The sequence below is a fragment of the Homo sapiens genome, chromosome 7, assembly GCF_000001405.40.
Source record: "Homo sapiens chromosome 7, GRCh38.p14 Primary Assembly".
NCBI lineage: Eukaryota > Metazoa > Chordata > Mammalia > Primates > Hominidae > Homo > Homo sapiens.
Genome location: NC_000007.14, coordinates 88424565 through 88443168, shown reverse-complemented (window position 1 = coordinate 88443168; position 18604 = coordinate 88424565).

The window sequence follows — 18604 nt, the reverse complement described above, 5'->3', positions numbered from 1 at the left end:
CTACTCACTAGAGAGTAATGTGAGAACTATAGAATTTACCTCCAAATTACATATGCACCATATCCAACAAGTCCCATGTTCAGAATATTGTTTTAATACATTTTTGTTTTTGAGTCTCTTCCATGGAATGAAACTCTGTGGACTATTAGTAGATGTTAAGTTAAAAAAGTAAAACAAAATAAAGTTCCATTTTCAAGTGGGATTACTCTCTGGAATAAACTAATTAAAAATATTTCTTTACTGCACATGTGTTCAGCCTTTTAATATCTTACTGTCTCTAAAACCCTTTGAAATAAATATACACATGATACCTACATATATATGTATAATGTAAAATTTACCAAAATCATAAGCCTCCATTTGTAACCAATAAAGCATCTTGAGAGAGTAGATATCAGTAGAACACAGCTTGGGAAACACTGAAGGGCATGCCTTTCATTGTATTTTATATTTTAATGCCATAGTTATTTTGGGACTAAGAATTATGATAGTGCATGTAGCAGTCAGTAATACTACCCATAACCCTCTTCTCTTTTCCACGTGGAATTTCACCTCTGGACTCATTCTGATATTCCTGGTTGTGCAAGATTAGTGCTGAAGAAAGTGGGAATTTTATCTGTGTAAGGTTTTCTGGATTGGACCCAGGGGTTTTTAACTGCTTTAGTCAATTACTTGTTCCTTAAAGCCTGGGGTATCACACCCAAATTGTTTAATTGATTTGAAAAAGTTTATTTACAGTATTTTCCACATAACTGACTTTTTCAGCCAACTGATTTGCCTAGAGTACAACATTGCTAATTTATACTAATGACTAAGAGAACACTGGAGATTACAAATTTAAGAATTAGCAAGTACTATAAGTGAAAGCATGCAATTAAAAGCAATTAGAGCTGTCTCATCACAAAAGGGACTTGATTAGTCCATGCTTATTATTTATGGTAGTGATTTATAATATGCTATCATTTATTTTGTGATGAAACCTCCATAATGTGACATTTTATTATCATCCTACAAGAAAGATGGACAAAGCTGCCAGAGAGTTGGTAAAGCTTGTCAGCTTTTCTGATGGATCCATTTGTTCACTCAGCACTTACTGTACTCTGCTCCTGCTCTGTGTGAAGTACCATATTCAAGCACAATTTTAATGACTTTTTTCTAATACTATAAGACTAATAGATTTCACCAGCACCTAGAAAGCACTGAAAATAGTAAGAAAAAGACAGAAAAAAATACATCAATAAGTCCATCACCTAGAGATGACCACTGCTAAGATTTTCTGTGCTTACTTCCAATATTTTCTTATACATACATGTAAAGAAAATGTGATGAATGTAAATATGTTTACATAATTGAGATTTTTTTATTTTCAATTTTGTATTGTGATTTTTCACTTAGCTGTTGATGAAGGCATACCAAATTATATCCTTCATTATTACTGCCTATTTAAAGTATATCATAAATTTATGTATTTATGTCCAGTTAATACTCAGAAATCAGCAGTTTAGTTGCTATTACATATTTTAAATAAATTAAAGTCAATAGTCTAAACTGGTTTTGCACCATTAGAGGTAGTTATTTGCATATTTTTCTGAATAGCTGAAAATAACTCATTTTGGAAGATGAGACAAACTCAATTTAAACCTGGTATTAGTCATACTTGCTATTGGAGTGTTACCTTCCAGGTATAGGCAGCAGTAACTTCAGGCAAACAGGAACAAGTACTGGCTTAATCTATATTTAGCCTTATAATGAAATGGAGCTTCCTCAGTCATTGAGTTGCATTACAATTTCCATAATCAATTTCAGCCCACTTCCATTTTGGGGAACTTCAATTAGAAGTTCCAGGAAAAATAATTTTTATTTTCATTGTTACTATTTCTGTTTCATAGGTGAAGTAATTGTAGCACTGAATGGGTAGATGATTTTTATACGGCTTTGGAGAAATCTAATTTCTTAGCATTCCTAAGGGTTTTTTAATGCTAGATCTCCTACACACTCCCTCAAATGAAGACTAAAGCTGTGCCTGCCTGAAGGAAACAGATGTGGTACAGTCATTCTCAACTGAAGCTATGGCTACCACATGAGAATAATTGGCATTAATTAATGCATCTAACAGCTTTAAGCTGACTATGCATTTGCACAACTCCCCTAAAAGCTTCCTAACAGGATCCTCTGAAGTGTACTAACAGTCTCTTAGAAGTCCCTCAGAAGCCCTTTAGCAGTCTTAATAGAAATATTTTGCCCAGTACTAGGAAGGCATATAACGTTTAAGCCAGCAATTTAGTAGTTCTGGAATCCACAAGTCTCATCTCTTCTAAGGTCAGTTCTACAAAGCACCTAATGCCTGCTCACAGTAGATTCTCAATAAGTATTCATAATCACATATTCTTAGTAGAAATTTAAATAGCTACTGTGTTATTTTCATCTCCAGAATTGATGATTCATGATCCTTTTATTGATATTCCCTGGAAAGTTCCTATAGTCTTATAACATCTGTTGTAAATCTGAAGCATTCAGTTTGTAAAAGAGAGGCAAGAAGGCCTTCGTTCCATTTCTTCCAATTTATAAATTAATCTTCTTAGTGTACAATCATGCACTGAGGCAAGTTAAATTCCTTTGTGATACCCAGGGAATTATACAATAGAAGTTAATGCAGATGATTCTTGCCTAGGGAAAAAAAAAACACCCTTAGTGGTCCTGCTCTGTTCCCGCCCTGGGCTAGGAACTTTACACATAGTATCTCACTTGAGCCTCACAATGGCTTACAGTTGAAGGAAAGAGAAGCTTGGAGAAATTAAGTCCAAGCTCTGACCTGATCCTACAACTTCCTGACTTCAAATTTGTGTTGTTTACACCTCAACATGAATTATTTAAAAATCATTGCATCCTCCAGTAGATTTCCAATGCCCCAGTATATACTATGTGGCCATTAGGTCCAAGCTGGCCACAGAGGAGACCCAGCTGGTTCCCTGGCCCTCTACTAAATATATTCTAGAACTCATGTCACTTTACAAAACCACAACGTCTACAAAAAGTCTGCAGCTTTGCTCCTCTATTTATTCATGTATCAGGTAAGATACTAAAGACATGGGTTAAAGGATATGAACAGACACTTCTCAAAAGCAGACATTTATGCAGCCAACAGACACATGAAAAAATGCTCATCATCACTGATCATCAGGGAAATGCAAAACCACAATGAGATACCATCTCACACCAGTTAGAATGGCAATCATTACTAAAAATACAAAAAATTAGCCGGGCGTAGTGGCGGGCGCCTGTAGTCCCAGCTACTTGGGAGGCTGAGGCAGGAGAATGGCGTGAACCCGGGAGGCGGAGCTTGCAGTGAGCCGAGATCCCGCCACTGCACTCCAGCCTGGGCGACAGAACGAGACTCCGTCTCAAAAAAAAAAAAGAAAAAAAAAAAAAAAAAAAAAAAAAAAGTCAGGAAACAACAGATGCTGGAGAGGATGTGGAGAAATAGGAACACTTTTACACTGTTGGTGGGACTGTAAATTAGGTCAACCATTGTGGAAGACACGATTCTTCAAGGATCTAGAACTAGAATTACCACTTGACCCAGCAATCCCATTACTGGGTATATACCCAAAGGATTATAAATCATGCTACTATAAAGACACATGCACATGTATGTTTATTGCGGCATTATCCACAATAGCAAAGACTTGGAACCAACCCAAATGTCCAACAATGATAGACTGGATTAAGAAAATGTGGCACATATACACCATGGAATACTACGCAGCCATAAAAAAGAATGAGTTCATGTCCTTTGTAGGGACATGGATGACTGGAAACCATCATTCTAAGCAAACTATCACAAGGACAAAAAACCAAACACCGCATGTTCTCACTCATAGGTGGGAACTGAACAATGAGATCACTTGGACACAGGGCGGGGAACATCACACACCAGTGCCTGTCAGGAGGTGGGAGGCTAGGAGAGGGATAGCATTAGGAGAAATACCTAATGTAAATGATGAGTTGATGGGTGCAGCAAACCAACAAAGCACATGTATACCTATGTATCAAACCTGCACATTGTGCACATGTACCCTAGAACCTAAAGTATAATTTTTAAAAATTAAATAAAGACGTGGGTTACTTTCATAAAATCTTAGGAAAAGAGAATTTTGGAGTCCACAAATGAAATCTATACTGGGCCAAGGATCCCCAAAACTCCCCCATAAAATATCTTGATTTTCTTCAACAAAGAATCATCTTGGCTTAGGAATATATAACCATAAATCCCAAAATGCTCTAATGTCACCCCTGTCTATAACTGTATCCCTAGGGCAGTGAGGTCTCTAAAGTCATTTATTCATTCAACAAATGTGCTTTGAGCATTCACTTTTTGCCAGGCACAATTGCAGAAACTTGGAATACATCAGTGAACAGAGCAAATGAAAATTCCAGCCCTCAGGGAGTCTACATTCTGGCAGGATAGAGAAGAGGAATAATAGATATAATAAGTAAGCAAATTATGCATTGTATATCAAGACATGATAAGGGCTATAGAAAGCAATCCAGTATTGCAAGCGGACTCAGGAATGTGCAGATGGCACAGATTGCAATTTTAAATAGGACCATCAGATTAGACTCCATTGAGAAGTGGATATTTAATTTAAAAAAAAACTTAAATGAAGTCATGGATCAGCCATGTGCACATCTGGGGGAAGAAAGTTCCTGAAAGATGTATGAAAGACAAAGGACAGAAGCATGCTTGACACATTTGAAGAAGCAAGGGGGCCGGTGTGGCTGCAGTAGAGTATACATGAGGGAGAGTAATGGGATATATATAGAGAGAGATGGGGCCAGACTATGAAGGGCTTTATAGAACAGTGGAAGTACTCTGAGTTTTAGTTCAAGTGGGATATATTTCTAGATTTCTATCATTGAAATGACATAATATGACTTACACATTTAAAAGGCTCACTCTGGGTGCTATATTGAGAGTAGAGAATAAAGGAGTGGGCAGTGGTTGAGGGGATAGGGTTGCAGCAGGGATCCATGTTACAAGGCTGGAAGTAATCAAGGTGGAAGGTGATGGTGCCCCAGGCCAGTAGGAGCAGTAAAGGTGATGAGAAGTGGTTGAATTCTAAAGATATATTGAAGAAAGAACTAAAAGCATTTTCTGATGAAATGGATATGGAATATGAGAGAAAGAAGAGTGAATGATGACTCCTCTGGTCTGAACCTGAACAGCTGGAAAGATGGATTTGCTATCACCTACAACGGGGGGGAGCAGAGCTTATTAAGAGGGGATCAGGAGTTCTGTTTTAGATGTATTAAATTTGAAATGTCTATTAGATACATAAGTAGAGAATAATTAAGCAGTCAAAAGTATCACTTTTAAGTTAATAAGAGAGGTGTGATAGGGTGATGCAAATTTGGGTGTCCTTCTTGGTTTGCTTGTTCCTTGAAACCACAAGATTGCATGAGATGGAGTGAATGCAGATCGAGATGGCATCCAAGGACTGATGGGAAGACCATGTTAAGAGGTCTGGAAATGAGGAGGGATCAGCAAAGGCACCTGAGAAAGAATAACCAGTGTTATAAAAGAAAAGCAGAGAATATAGTGTACTGGAAGACAAGGGTAGAAGTTTACTAAGAAGAAGGGAGAGATCAATGTGTCAACTGCTGCAGAATTATGTAAGATGTGAAATGAGAATTCACCACTGAATTTAGCAACAAGGGAGACACTGGTGATACAGACAAGAGAAGTCTGAGTATAATAGTGGGGATAAAAGCCACATATTTGAATGCTAAAGGGAATGACCCAGTAGACCAGTAAAAACCAACCAACCAACCAACAAAAACCCTAAAATGTCAGAAAGTAGAATTGCTAAATGAGTCACCTTGAGAAAGTGAAAGAGGATGGGACTTGGTGGCTCAGATAGGGGTATAGATCACCTGTGGTCATAGGTAAGGAGGAAGAGTATGTGGGTATAGGTGCTGGAAGGCTTTGAAAGTAGATATCATGAGAGGCTATGGAAACCCTCTTCCAATGTTTCAATTTCCCCTGTGAAAATGGAGGTAGGGAAGAACGTGTTGAAGATTAGGGAGGAGCAAAGAGTGAAGTAGTTATCAAGTAGAGTAAAAGAGTGAATGAATTGTCAATGTTTGCCAATTCATGGCAAACATGAATAAGGTATGATTATCAGTGGAGCATTTAGAGCCCAACTTAGGTTCAAGGCCATGAATTTAAAGAGAGACTAGTCAGTGTGATTATTTTTCTTAAGCCACATGGGTACTGGCCTGGAGAAGTTAGTTGTACTTAACATGAGTTGTGGTTTGGGAAAAAGAGTATGATGAAGGGCAAAGGAGAGGCTACAGCTCCTGGCCATGGAGGTTAAGCTGGATATGGGGACAGTGAAAATGGGAGATCACTGGTTGATTAATTCCTCCTCTTTAACAGATGCTGAGAAGGAGTCCCAAGGTGGTATCTGTTACATTCTTGAATAGTGGCAGGTGGCCCTATACATTCAGGCCCCTGAACCAAAACAATGAAGGCTTGGACACAGCCAGCAAGAGCCAAATGAGTGGATATTTTAGTCTCTGCCTCTGATTCATTGGGTGAATTTGCTCAAATCACATTGTTTCTATGTACCTTTTTTCCTCTCATCTACAATTTAGAGAAAATATCTTCCTCATGTGCTTCTGAAAAGCAATAAAAACATTGGTAAAGACTTCAAAATCCTTGAAAAAGCATTTTGCATTATACTAAATATGCATTATACTAAATTTTATTTAAAATGCTTTTATATTTGCATTGTTTGCAGAGGTGTGTTCCCCTCATAGTTTATACCAAAATACATTTATCCTTCGCATCTGGATAAATGAATCTTATTCTTGACATCAGTTGTTTCAATTGCCCTTCTTTTAAATTTCTTTCATTTTTGTCACTTTAACATGTTGCTGATGTTAGTTGAGATGCCAAAATTGAATTTAGTATAGACATACAAGTTTCCTGACAGATTTATTATATTAAAAAACAAGAGAATGGGGACTAGTGTTTTTGAGAGTCTATTATGTGGCAGATGCTACACATTTAATATTGATTTAATCTCCAAAACAATGCTATGAGTTTGTTATTATTATCAGCCTCATTTTATAATGATAAAACTAAGTTTAGAGAGATTATATAATTTACCCCAGTACACATAGATTGTAACTGGTAAGCTTAGATTTGAACACAGTTATGCATGATTCCAAATTACATGCTCTTAGATGTCATTCCATTATATTTCAATAAAACTCTAAACACATGAAATGGATTAAAACCAATGTTGTCTCACTTTTTAAAACATGTTCCCAAAATGTAGACATTGTGAAATCTGAAGAAACTCTACTACAGCCCTCAGGGAAGCTTAAATTCTTATATTCTTTATATCCCCACACAGCATGAGTTCTGATACCGTCTTTCCCACCTCACCTGTATCACCCATATCCCTACTGCAGGAGAAGTGGAGAAAAGGGAAATACTCACAGAAAAGAAATTCAAAAAATTTCTCACTACAGGTGACATGGGAAGCTACAGGATTATTTGGTGGTGAGCTGCACTCAGGAAAGTCAATGCAGAGTTAGGTAAAGGTATTCTTGCCAGTGGTTGGCACTGAGTGCTTAGGGAAGGTCTGTTAAATGACTGAAGGGACCCATCACACTGGTGAAAAAGGTGAGGGGAAACCCGGGTTCAACCTGTGTGAGTGAGCTGGAATGCTTCCATGAACTGACTTCTACTGTGGCTTTGTTTTCATTGGTGTTTCTAAAGGGTGCTTTATGTCTTTTCATTTAAGGGCTCTGTATCATAGAAAAAGCTCATAAATAAGAGAAGGGGGCAATGTCACCTTCAGGGCCAGCAAGTTTCCCAAATACCTGCAGCCAAATTGTGAAGTGTTTTTAGTTGCTAGAAGCCTAGAATTAAGGCTGGTAGTGGGGAGCTAGCCAAATATAGTACTTCACAGTAATATTTTAACAGTGCAACTATTTCTTGAAAATCAGAATTCTTTTCCTGAAGCAATGAACTTCCCCTAGTGAAAACATGCATATATCTGTAAATTCCTAAACATTTTGCCCTACAAATAATATCATTATATCTTTATAAAAAAGTGCATTAAAAACAGATTCTATTTGAATGAAGCAGAAGCCCTGACATAGAAGAAAACCACAGCTTTTTGAATTCCTTCTATCAGGCATCAAAGTAACAGAAAAACTGAAAGAATTCAGATTGTCAGGTTGCCACAGTTACATTGATTTTATAGAACTAGAGTTTCCTTAGGAAATGTAGTATGGTAAAATGATTATTTTACTACAGTCCCCATCCATGCTAAGAGAATATGTTTTCTTTCTTGATAGAAATTTTTTTTATTATACTTTAAGTTCTGGGTTACTTGTGCAGAACATGCAGTTTCGTTACATAGGTATACACGTGCCATGGTGGTTTGCTGCACCCATCAATCCATCACCTACATTAGGCATTTCTCCTAACATTATCCGTCCCCTAGCCCCCTACCCAAACAGGCCCCAGTGTGTGATGTTCGCCTCCCTGTGTCCATGTGTTCTCACTGTTCAACTCCCACTTATGAGTGAGAACATGTGGTGTTTGGTTTTCTGATCTTGTGATAGTTTGCTGAGAATGATTGCTTCCAGCTTCATCCATGTCCCTGAAAAGGACATGAACTCATCCTTTTTTATGGCTGCATAGTATTCCATGGAGTATATGTGCCACATTTTCTTAATCCAGTCTATCATTGATGGACATTTGGGTTGGTTCCAAGTCTTTGCTATTGTGAATAGCACCACAATAAACATATATGTGCATGTGTCTTTATAATAAGTAGCATGATTTATAATCCTTTGGGTATATACCTAGTAATGGGATTGATGGGTCAAATGGTATTTCTAGTTCTATATCCTAGAACTGCCTAGCAAATTATCCCACAGCTCTCCAAAAGATAGAGCAGATGGGGCAAGTGAGTGTTTAAAGTCTCTTCCTGCTTAACTGCCCCTACTCGTGGACAATTATCTGCTATCCCACAGCCCAGCCACAGTGCCTATCTCTTCTGAAATAACATGTGGACCCACTGTGTCAGTAAACTCACACCCTGTAATGTTCTCATCAACCAAGTAGACCATTTTCCTCAATCGGCCTTGAAAGAGAGAGAACCGTGGTTTAAGCCCAACCACATCAATCTAATTATCAAACTTTGAGAAAACCTCTAGTGAAAAATAAATGTTCGTGGTTCAAAACTAGTATCTCCTCATTCTTATTGACTGCAAGGGTGCTTCTCTCAGAATCTGTGCTCTAAGCAGAGAAGCATCTTTTCAGCACATCCTTGAATTAAATCAGCACATCAGTGTAAGCAGCCCAGGGAGCCATGAGCAACCACTTTGCCATCCTCATCACATTCTCCCCCAAATACATCCCCAGTGAGGGTCCAGAGCCCCCACAAAATTGTTTTTGCAGTCACTTACAGTGCAAATTGGAATTCCTATCATTAAAAAGGAAGACACTCATTTCTTAACAGTTTCTCTGCATCTGAGGCCCCGTTCCATGGGAGATGTCTCTTAAGAGAAAACAGTGTTAACTTAGAAACACCAAAGACAGTTTTCTGAGTCCAGTGGCAAATCTCAGTTTACACTATGTCTAGCCACAGACTTGGCTCATCTGCTCTAGGCAAAGAATTCTTGAGGCAGGAGTAACTAACTTGTTCCTTTCCATACCATAACAATCAGGTGTATGGTTTATTCCTAAGGTTTATAGCCAAATGCATAGTTGAGTACAGTAAGGAATGATGAGGTCTGAAATTGCAGCAAAAACCCAGCCTCCTCTCATTATTCCAGTCAATCATAAGTTGAAGGTTTCCAGTAGTGCTTTGTTGATTGGTGTGTGATACTGTTTATTTTCTAAAAACGCATAGTGCAGTTGTTTTTTACCTAGTGAAAAGATGGTGTAAAGTTATCTTTTATCACTGTCAAGAGACTTAAATAATTTAAGAGACTTTTATTCATGGCCCAACAGCAGTTCATATAAAAGATGGAAGCATTCTACCAAAGACTATAAAGGCTAGGGAAAAAAAGGTATTTCCAAAGGCTTGGATGACTTTTGAGTATGAAAACCGACTAGAGGGAAAGTAGGAAAGTACTAAGATTACAGTAGGGTAGGGAAAGAAGAGAAAGAACATTCAAGAAAGTCAACTGTTGGATGAAATCCAAACCTTTAATCCCTGAACTCAAAGAGAAAAAAACAAAACTTTAACATCACTCGGCAATGACTACTCCAGCCAATATGGATGCGACACTCATGGACTTTGAATAAAATCAAATTGTCTGCTGGGAAGATTGGATTATGGCAAAGAAATACTCTGAAGGAAAAGGGCAGCTGGAATAAGATAGTGATTCTCTAGAACTAAAGAAAAACTTTCCTGACTTCCTAAAAAGAAAAATATAGCACACAATAATCACACAATGGATGTGCAGCTAGAAAATAGGGGTATACAAAAAGCCCAGAACTGCATGTCAGATTATTTTACCAGTATTTTGTGGCTTTCTTGTAGCTCACTGTTCTCAGGGCAGCAAACACAGGGCAAGGCATTTTACAGATAGATGATAATGGCTTTCAGTGTTTCTCAAATTGGCTCAAAGCCCATACTGTGTAAATTGCTAAAAGCCCATATGTAATTCTGAACCTCTTGCAGGCTGAGACTCTGTGTGCTGGTAATAATTACATAGACTGGGATAATTAACTTCTGACACGAAAAGGGATGAAGGTGAGAGATGAAAATGCAGACCGTAACAACTTTTACTTAAAGCAAGGGCACAAATTGACAAAAACCCTGGGGCATTCACTTGGAAAAATTTACTGTAGTCTATGTCTCTAATGTTTTCCTATAAGAAGAAATTTCTCCATGCTCCCATGATTATTCTTTTCTGATATTTATGGGTTTTACGGCCTTATCCATTTTAATTTTTGTCTGGACAGTCTAGCTTTGTCAATGTTCAGATTCTTAAGAGAAGACATAGGCCCAAGGCACACAAGCACATTCAGCGCTTGAACACTCCCACAGGAAAAGAATTGACCTCAGCCTGCAATAAGCAAAGCAGCTGAAACTGAGCCCCCTGCATAACACATGTGAGTGTTGAAGAGCTGTCGCTTCCACAAAAAAAGAATTAGAAAAGCCTGGGGAAAGGATGAGAAAGTTTTCCATCTGTCCGAGGCTCTCAGGGAGGATAAAAAGAAACTCATGAGACATCAAATCTAGGGCACTCAGGGTCTCAATCTACACTAATCACAGGGTAAGGGTCCCAAAGAGAATACATTAAGATAGATCTATTTACAACCATTGAAAACATTAAGGCTCTTGCAGAAGTATCCTAAAACTTCTCTAGAAATATTTTCACAATTAGGGATTCAAGGAACTCCTATGCGGGAAAAGTAGCCCAGCTCAAACTAAAAATGTTAAATCACTCGAGAAAAGGAAGTGTCATGAGGGACAGAATAGATTTCAAAAACAGACCCAAATCCCTATAAGACAAACCTTTTAGCATAATTAAGGAGGTAAAAGAATAAATAGAAACCATAATGAAAGACCAGAACCTGTGATGAAAGCTCTGGCTGAGCTTTAATAACTAAATAAATGTCTGCAAATGTAAAAATGCAGTTATGATTTAAAATGTAATAGATAATAATAATCTTCACAACAGATTGGAAAATATATATTTTCCTAAGTAAAAATAACAACCAGGTATAAAACAGAATGGAATAAGAAATCCAATATGTAGGCCAGGCATGGTGGCTCACACCCGTAATCCCAGTACTTTGGGAAATGGAGGCCAGTGGATCTCCTGAGGTTAGGAGTTCAAAACCATCCTGGCCAACATGGTGAAACCCCGTCTCTACTAAAAGTATGAAATTAGCCTGGCGTGGTGGTGCACACCTGTAACCCCAGCTACTTGGGAGGCTGAGGCAGGAGAATTGCTTGAACCTGGGAAGTGGAGGTTGCAGTGAGCCAAGACCACACCATTGCACAGCCTGGGCAAGAAGAGCAAGACTCCATGAAGAGGAGAGGAGAGGAGATAAAGGAAAATCTAATATGTAATAGCATTGAAAAAGACAAAACAACTAAGATAACAGTATAAGAAATACACAAGATCATTATGAAAAAAACTTCTAAGCACTAACTACTAAAAGACACAAAAGAAGATACGAACAAATGGAAAGACATGCCATGTTCTTGAGGAGAAAGACTCAATACCATTATCTTAATTCTTCTTGAGCTGATTCATAAATTTGCACAACCTAAAATATCAACCTTTTTAACTAGATGAGTTGATCATAAAGTTCATATAAAAATCACATAGAATCATCAGCACGCAGGCATTAAAAGAATGAAATTGTGTCTTTTGCAGAAACATGAATGGAGCTGGTGGCCACTGTCCTAAGTGAACTAACACAGAAGCAGAAAATCAAATACCACATGTTCTCATTTATAAGTGGGAGCTAAACAATGGGTACATGTGAACGTACAGAGGAAAGTATTAGACACTCGGGACTGCATAAGTAGGGAGGGTGAGAAGGAGATGAGGGCTGAAACATTATCTACTGGGTACAATGTTCACTATTCAGGTAATAGTGAATAGAGTCTCACTAAAGCCCAAACTTAATCACTATGCAATATATCCATTTTATAAAACTGCACTGGTACCCTCTAAATCCACAAAAATTTTAAAATTAAATAGAATAGTCAGGAAAACACTGAACAAAAAATCAAAAGGGGGATTACTACTACCAGATATTAAAACAATTTATTATATATTAATAATCATATCAGTGTTGTAATGGGACATAAACAGACCAGTGATGTAGAAAAGAAAATCCAGAAATTGACCCAGATCCTGATAATTCACAATATGAGATAATAAAAACGGAGTTTCACACCAGCGGGGGAAGTAGACTAATCAAGAAGTGAAGTCATGTTGGGACAATGTAATGGCCATTTGATTATTACTCATTGCATGCCTGTATCAGAACATCTCATGTAACCTATAAATATATATACCATTAAGTGTATAAAATTAAGAATAAATTTTTAAAACAATAATTTTCAACTGATATCAGAGACAAAGATAATCTATTTAATACTTACAAAGCTTTTATGATAAGGAAAATAACAACTCAATATAATGGTCAATAGATATGAACAGAGTTCACATTAATACAATAGCTCTCGAACATATGAAAAGATGCTCAGTTCACTTAAAGTAAAAGAAAATTAAGACAGAAATACCCTGAGAAAACTTTTTCCATCTATTGGACTGACCAGATTTCAAAAGTTTGATCACACCATGCTTAATTGGCTAGGAAAACAGACAGTCCATGCATTCTCTTTTGTTGTATTTTACATTTACATATACTTCATGCATTCTTGAGTAAATTGGTGCAACATCGAAGGAGGACAATATGACAATATCTATCAAAATTTTAGTGAATACACTATTTGACTCAGCAAATTCACTGTCACTCATTTGAAATGACTCATGGAAAAGTCATGTTTAATAGCAAGAGCAAGAAAACAATACAAATATCCACCAATAGGGGCTATTTAAGTAAATTACAACACATGTGTGCAGCAGAATACTGTGCACCATAAAAAAATAAGCAAAGGAAATTTCCATGTACTATTACAGATACATCCCCAAGCTATATGGTAATGTGAAAAAAATCGAGGTACAGACAGTGAATAAATATGCCACCTTTGGAGTATCAAGGGTAAGAGAAGATAAAAATCTACTGAAATAATGATGTTTGCCTGCACATGCATAAACAAACTCTAGAAATAGGCAAAATAATTAAAAAGCAGTAGTTAACTCTGAGAGGAGATGTCAAAGATAGAAGAGTGAATTTTCACTATATACTTCCTGATTTTTTAACATTATGAATGTATTACTGTATTCAAAAAATTAGATTTAAAAATATATTTAAAATGTTCAAATTCAATTATAATAATTAAGTTTAAAATTCAAACAGTACCACCTACACCTATCAAATTAGGAATTATTGTTCATGACAAATTTCCAATTTGGCAATGGTCTGGCAGAAAAGTGCACGCTGATATACAGCTGGCAATGGTATAAATTGATACCCTCTTTCTCTGAAGCAATTTTGGCAAGACTTTGAAAGCTTACATCCTCCAACTCATCAATTAGAATTCTGGAAATGTATTCTAAGGAAAAAATATGCATATTAATTAAGAACTACAAGAATGTAAGGGGGGAATAGAAATTGGAGAGGTGGGGGTCCAAATGACACTTCAATTTTATCTATAATGTATTCTTAAAAATAAAAGAAATGTGATATAAATATAGCAACAAGGCAACGCTTAAATACAGGTGGTAGGTATCCGAGTATTTGTTATGTTATTTTCCCTAGTTTGCTGTATGTTTCCATTTCATTTTTAATTTATTGCACAAAATTACCCACGTAAGTGAACAACATAGCTTTTTTTAGTATATATAAGAAAATTTGCTCCAGCATGGAAAGAATTATATTATATACATGTTTTATACATTGTTTAATATTGTGTGAATACCTTTTACATACTAGATACAACAATTAAGACATTAAAGTGTTGACTTCAAGCAAAGAGGAATTAAATAACTTGAAATTTATGGAGAAGATTAGAGATGACTTCATGCTATTGATCTCAGACATTGGTAAACATTATTACCAGGAATGTTTCTATGAATTCCAAGGTCCAATTTCAGATCTGTGAAGTGTGATTATTCAGAAGGAAGGCTAGGCAAGTATATTAAACTTAGCAAATCCTGTTCTAAATTCTGGAGCTCACTGGTCTAAGGTATAGAGCAGTGCTTCTGCAAGTATGGAAAAGCCACCTCCTCCAGTGCTTGAGAACATTACAGATTCCTTGGTCCTACCCAAGATCTTTCTAATCTACAATTCTGCAGCTGGTGCCCTAGGAATCTGCATCCTAACAAGAACCTCAGGTTATTCTAATGCAAGACTTTAGAAGCACTGATGTAGATCATTGATTTTTTTTTTCTTGCTCACATAGAAAAAACTGTGCTCAAGATACGGCTGGAGGGATGCAAGCTAAGTAGAAGGCAAGAACCAATTAAATGCCAAAAGGTGTTTCCAAAGGAGGTTATAAAATCTACTGTTCTGGAAATGCTAAAAAATATACTTTTGCCTGGTAGCAGAAGGCTAAACTAATGACCCCTGAAAAGCTTTCATAGCCTTATAGTTTTAGATATAATTAAATGCCCGAAGGTAAAAGAGAATAAGAAATTGAATGGGTTTTGGATGATGAGTTAATAATACAATAATGGGCTAGGCAGGGACAATTTTGGTGCGCCTTTGAAGCTGTGCAATGAGATTTCAAAAACTTTAGGACTGAAGAAGTATGTGAGAGTAAGAATTATGGTGTCCCAAACTTCTTTAATGACCTCACTGAATAATAGGTGAGCAGAACATGTGCTTTGCTTTATTTCAGCTGCACAAGTTGCCCTGGCCATTTTTAGCTTGCCTTCCCCTAAGCATTACCTCTGGTTCCAAGTAAACAGAGAATATACATCTGAATCTAGTACATACACACATGCTTCAGCACTTTCTCATAAATACAATTTCTAGCCAAATAAAAATGGCCTGAAATTGAAAGAAGAAAGATGTTAATTTTTTTAAGCTCAGAGCCCATTTTTTTGCAGCCCTACTCTGGCTATGTTAACAAGGTTATCAATTTTAAGCAACCCCTCAGCCCCTTTTGAAACTCCACAGCAACCCATGGGTGCGGGGTATACACATACACTCACACCAAGAAGTCTGTTTTTTGAAAAAGAAAATAAATTTACATTAGGCATATCTCCTAATGCTATCCCTCCACCCTCCCCCCACCCCATGATAGGCCCCGGTGTGTGATGTTCCCCACCCTGTGTCCAAGTGTTCTCATTGTTCAATTCCCACCTGTGAGTGAGAACATGCAGTGTTTGGTTTTCTGTCCTTGCGATAGTTTGCTCAGAATGCATGGCACATGTATACATATGTAACAAACTTGCACATTGTGCACATGTACCCTAGAACTTAAAGTATAATAACAAAAAATAAAAAGAAAAAAGAAAAATAAATAAATAATAATAATAAAAAGAAAATAAATTGCACTGAACTGAAACAACTACACATACCTTCCAATCTAACTACTCATAGTTTCAGAGACTGCAGACAAGAGTAAATTGTGTCATAAAAGGAGAGAAGACTGGACTTAGAATTGAAGTTCCGGGTTTAAACTCAGATTCTAACCTTCTAACACTTCCTAGATGTATCATTTATATCGTGTGTGTGTGTGTATTTTCAAGAAAAAGTAAGTGGAGTAAAGATAATATACGAGCAGGAAATAAAATAAAACCACTATAAGATCAGTACCCAAATAATAAGCAATCATCTTAATACTTTATTATAGGCCACAAATGCGGCTCTGAGCTTTCTAGAAGGCACATGAAAAACCATGGTCCATCACATGATTGACACGGTCCATAAGACTAAAACAAAGTTTTTCATGAGAAGTGCAACTATTACTGGTGTTGAGTTTAGGCAGAAATTTTTTCTATCAAGTTTTTATAATGAGGATTAATGTGGTGAACAATATTCTCTAAATAGCCTTAGAATAAAAGTAAGAATTTGTTTATTATCATGTACTTCACACACCTCAGTGTAAGTCAAAGTACAATGTTCCAAAAGCACAATGCCATAAAACCAGTTCTACAGAACAGATTAAGTGATGCCTTAGGTACACAGTCCTTTGATGGAGGCTTAAAGTATCCAGAGTGGAAGTCACAAATGGGCAGCAAATAGATCCATAGATGTACTTTCATTGGTTCATGAGCTTTGGGGGGTTTTCCCCACATTTAAACTGGGAAATTTCAAATAAGATTCAATACCGGGGTTTGTTTTTATTTAGTAGCTCTAGCCCCACATGAAGCAATGATTGGGAACTAAAGACCGGCTATTGTCCCCTGTCTTCCCACTACAGTCATTAACTCTGCCTGTTTGGTCCCTGTACTCACATGAGTTTGAAACTCTTGACCTGGAAGAATGGGTAGAGTATGTTTACTAAACACAGTACAGCATCAATATTTCTCTCACCAAGCTTTGACTCAGTATTGAACAGCAGCAAAATTCACTGTGTGGCCTTAAGCAAGAGATCTCATCATTGTTCAGACTCCATTTCCTCATCTTGGAGTTATTGTGAGGATTAAATGAGATGTCTTCAAAAGCACTTGACTGCTAATTACTATTCCAATGAACCATATTATTACCAGAAATTATCCACAATACTATTTACTTCATCTTAATTATAATGGACTCAATAATATTTTCCTCACCATGTTACTTCTGGCCTTTTCATAAACTTCTAGGATTTCTGTTGCCTATTAGAATGGACATCTCTTGTATTACACCTCAAATTCTCTTGGTCCCACCTGTTACTCCAGCCACCACTGAATGACAAGCTCAATGGAGGTTTAACCTGCATAATGTAGGTGCCACTGGACAGACTTTGCCTGGGGGTCTACAGAACACACCTCTTGCTCCCTGTCCCAGGGATCCTCTGACATGCACATAAGACGCCATCAGAAACCAGTTTGGCACTCATCATGCACATCCCAGAAGTTTAATGCCCTTGGAACCATCCTTGACAAGTTAGTGAATGAGGATTGATGGTTAAATATTCCCCCCACCTTTGTGCTGCGGATGGACAGTTCTGAAACAGGTTTTATAAAACTACTCAGAAAGTCCCAACAATAATCACATGCCAGTCACCCATGCCAGTGGCCACCTCAGTTACACATTATCCTTTTGTCTTTCCCGTCTTCCCTGGTTCAATCCCCCTGTACCTCACTCTAGCTCTCTAAAATCACTTCAAGAAAACCCCTTGTGTATAAACCTTGTCTCCAGCTTTGCTTTTGGGGAAGTTCAGGTACAGATATTACCCAAAATATGCTCTTAGATAGAAATCATCCTTTACAGGACCAATCAAAAACTGAAAAGATAATCCACAGAATGAGTGAAAATTCTTGCAAATAATATACCTGATAAAAGATTTATAAGACATACAAATGGCCAATAAGCACAAGAAAAGCTGTTCAACATCATTAGTCATTATGGAAGTGTAAATCAAAACCACAATGAGATGGTTACACTAAAAAAACCATTCTCAGCCACGAGAATGGTTATAACAAAAAAATCAAATAACAACAAGTGTCGACAAGGATATGGAAAAATTGGAACCTTCATATACTGTTCATGGGAATGTAAAATAGCACATCCACTTTGGAAGACACTCTGGCAGTTCCTCAAAATTTAAAAATGCAGTTACCATGTGATCCAACAATTCTATTCCTAGGTGTATACTCAAGAGAAACAAAAACATATGTCCACACAAAAACTTGTAGAGAAGTGTTCATAACAACTATTATTATTCATAATAGTCAAAAAGTGGAAACAACCCAAATGTCCATCAACCGATGAATAAATAAAATGTGGTATATACATACAATGGAACATTTTTCAGCAAAA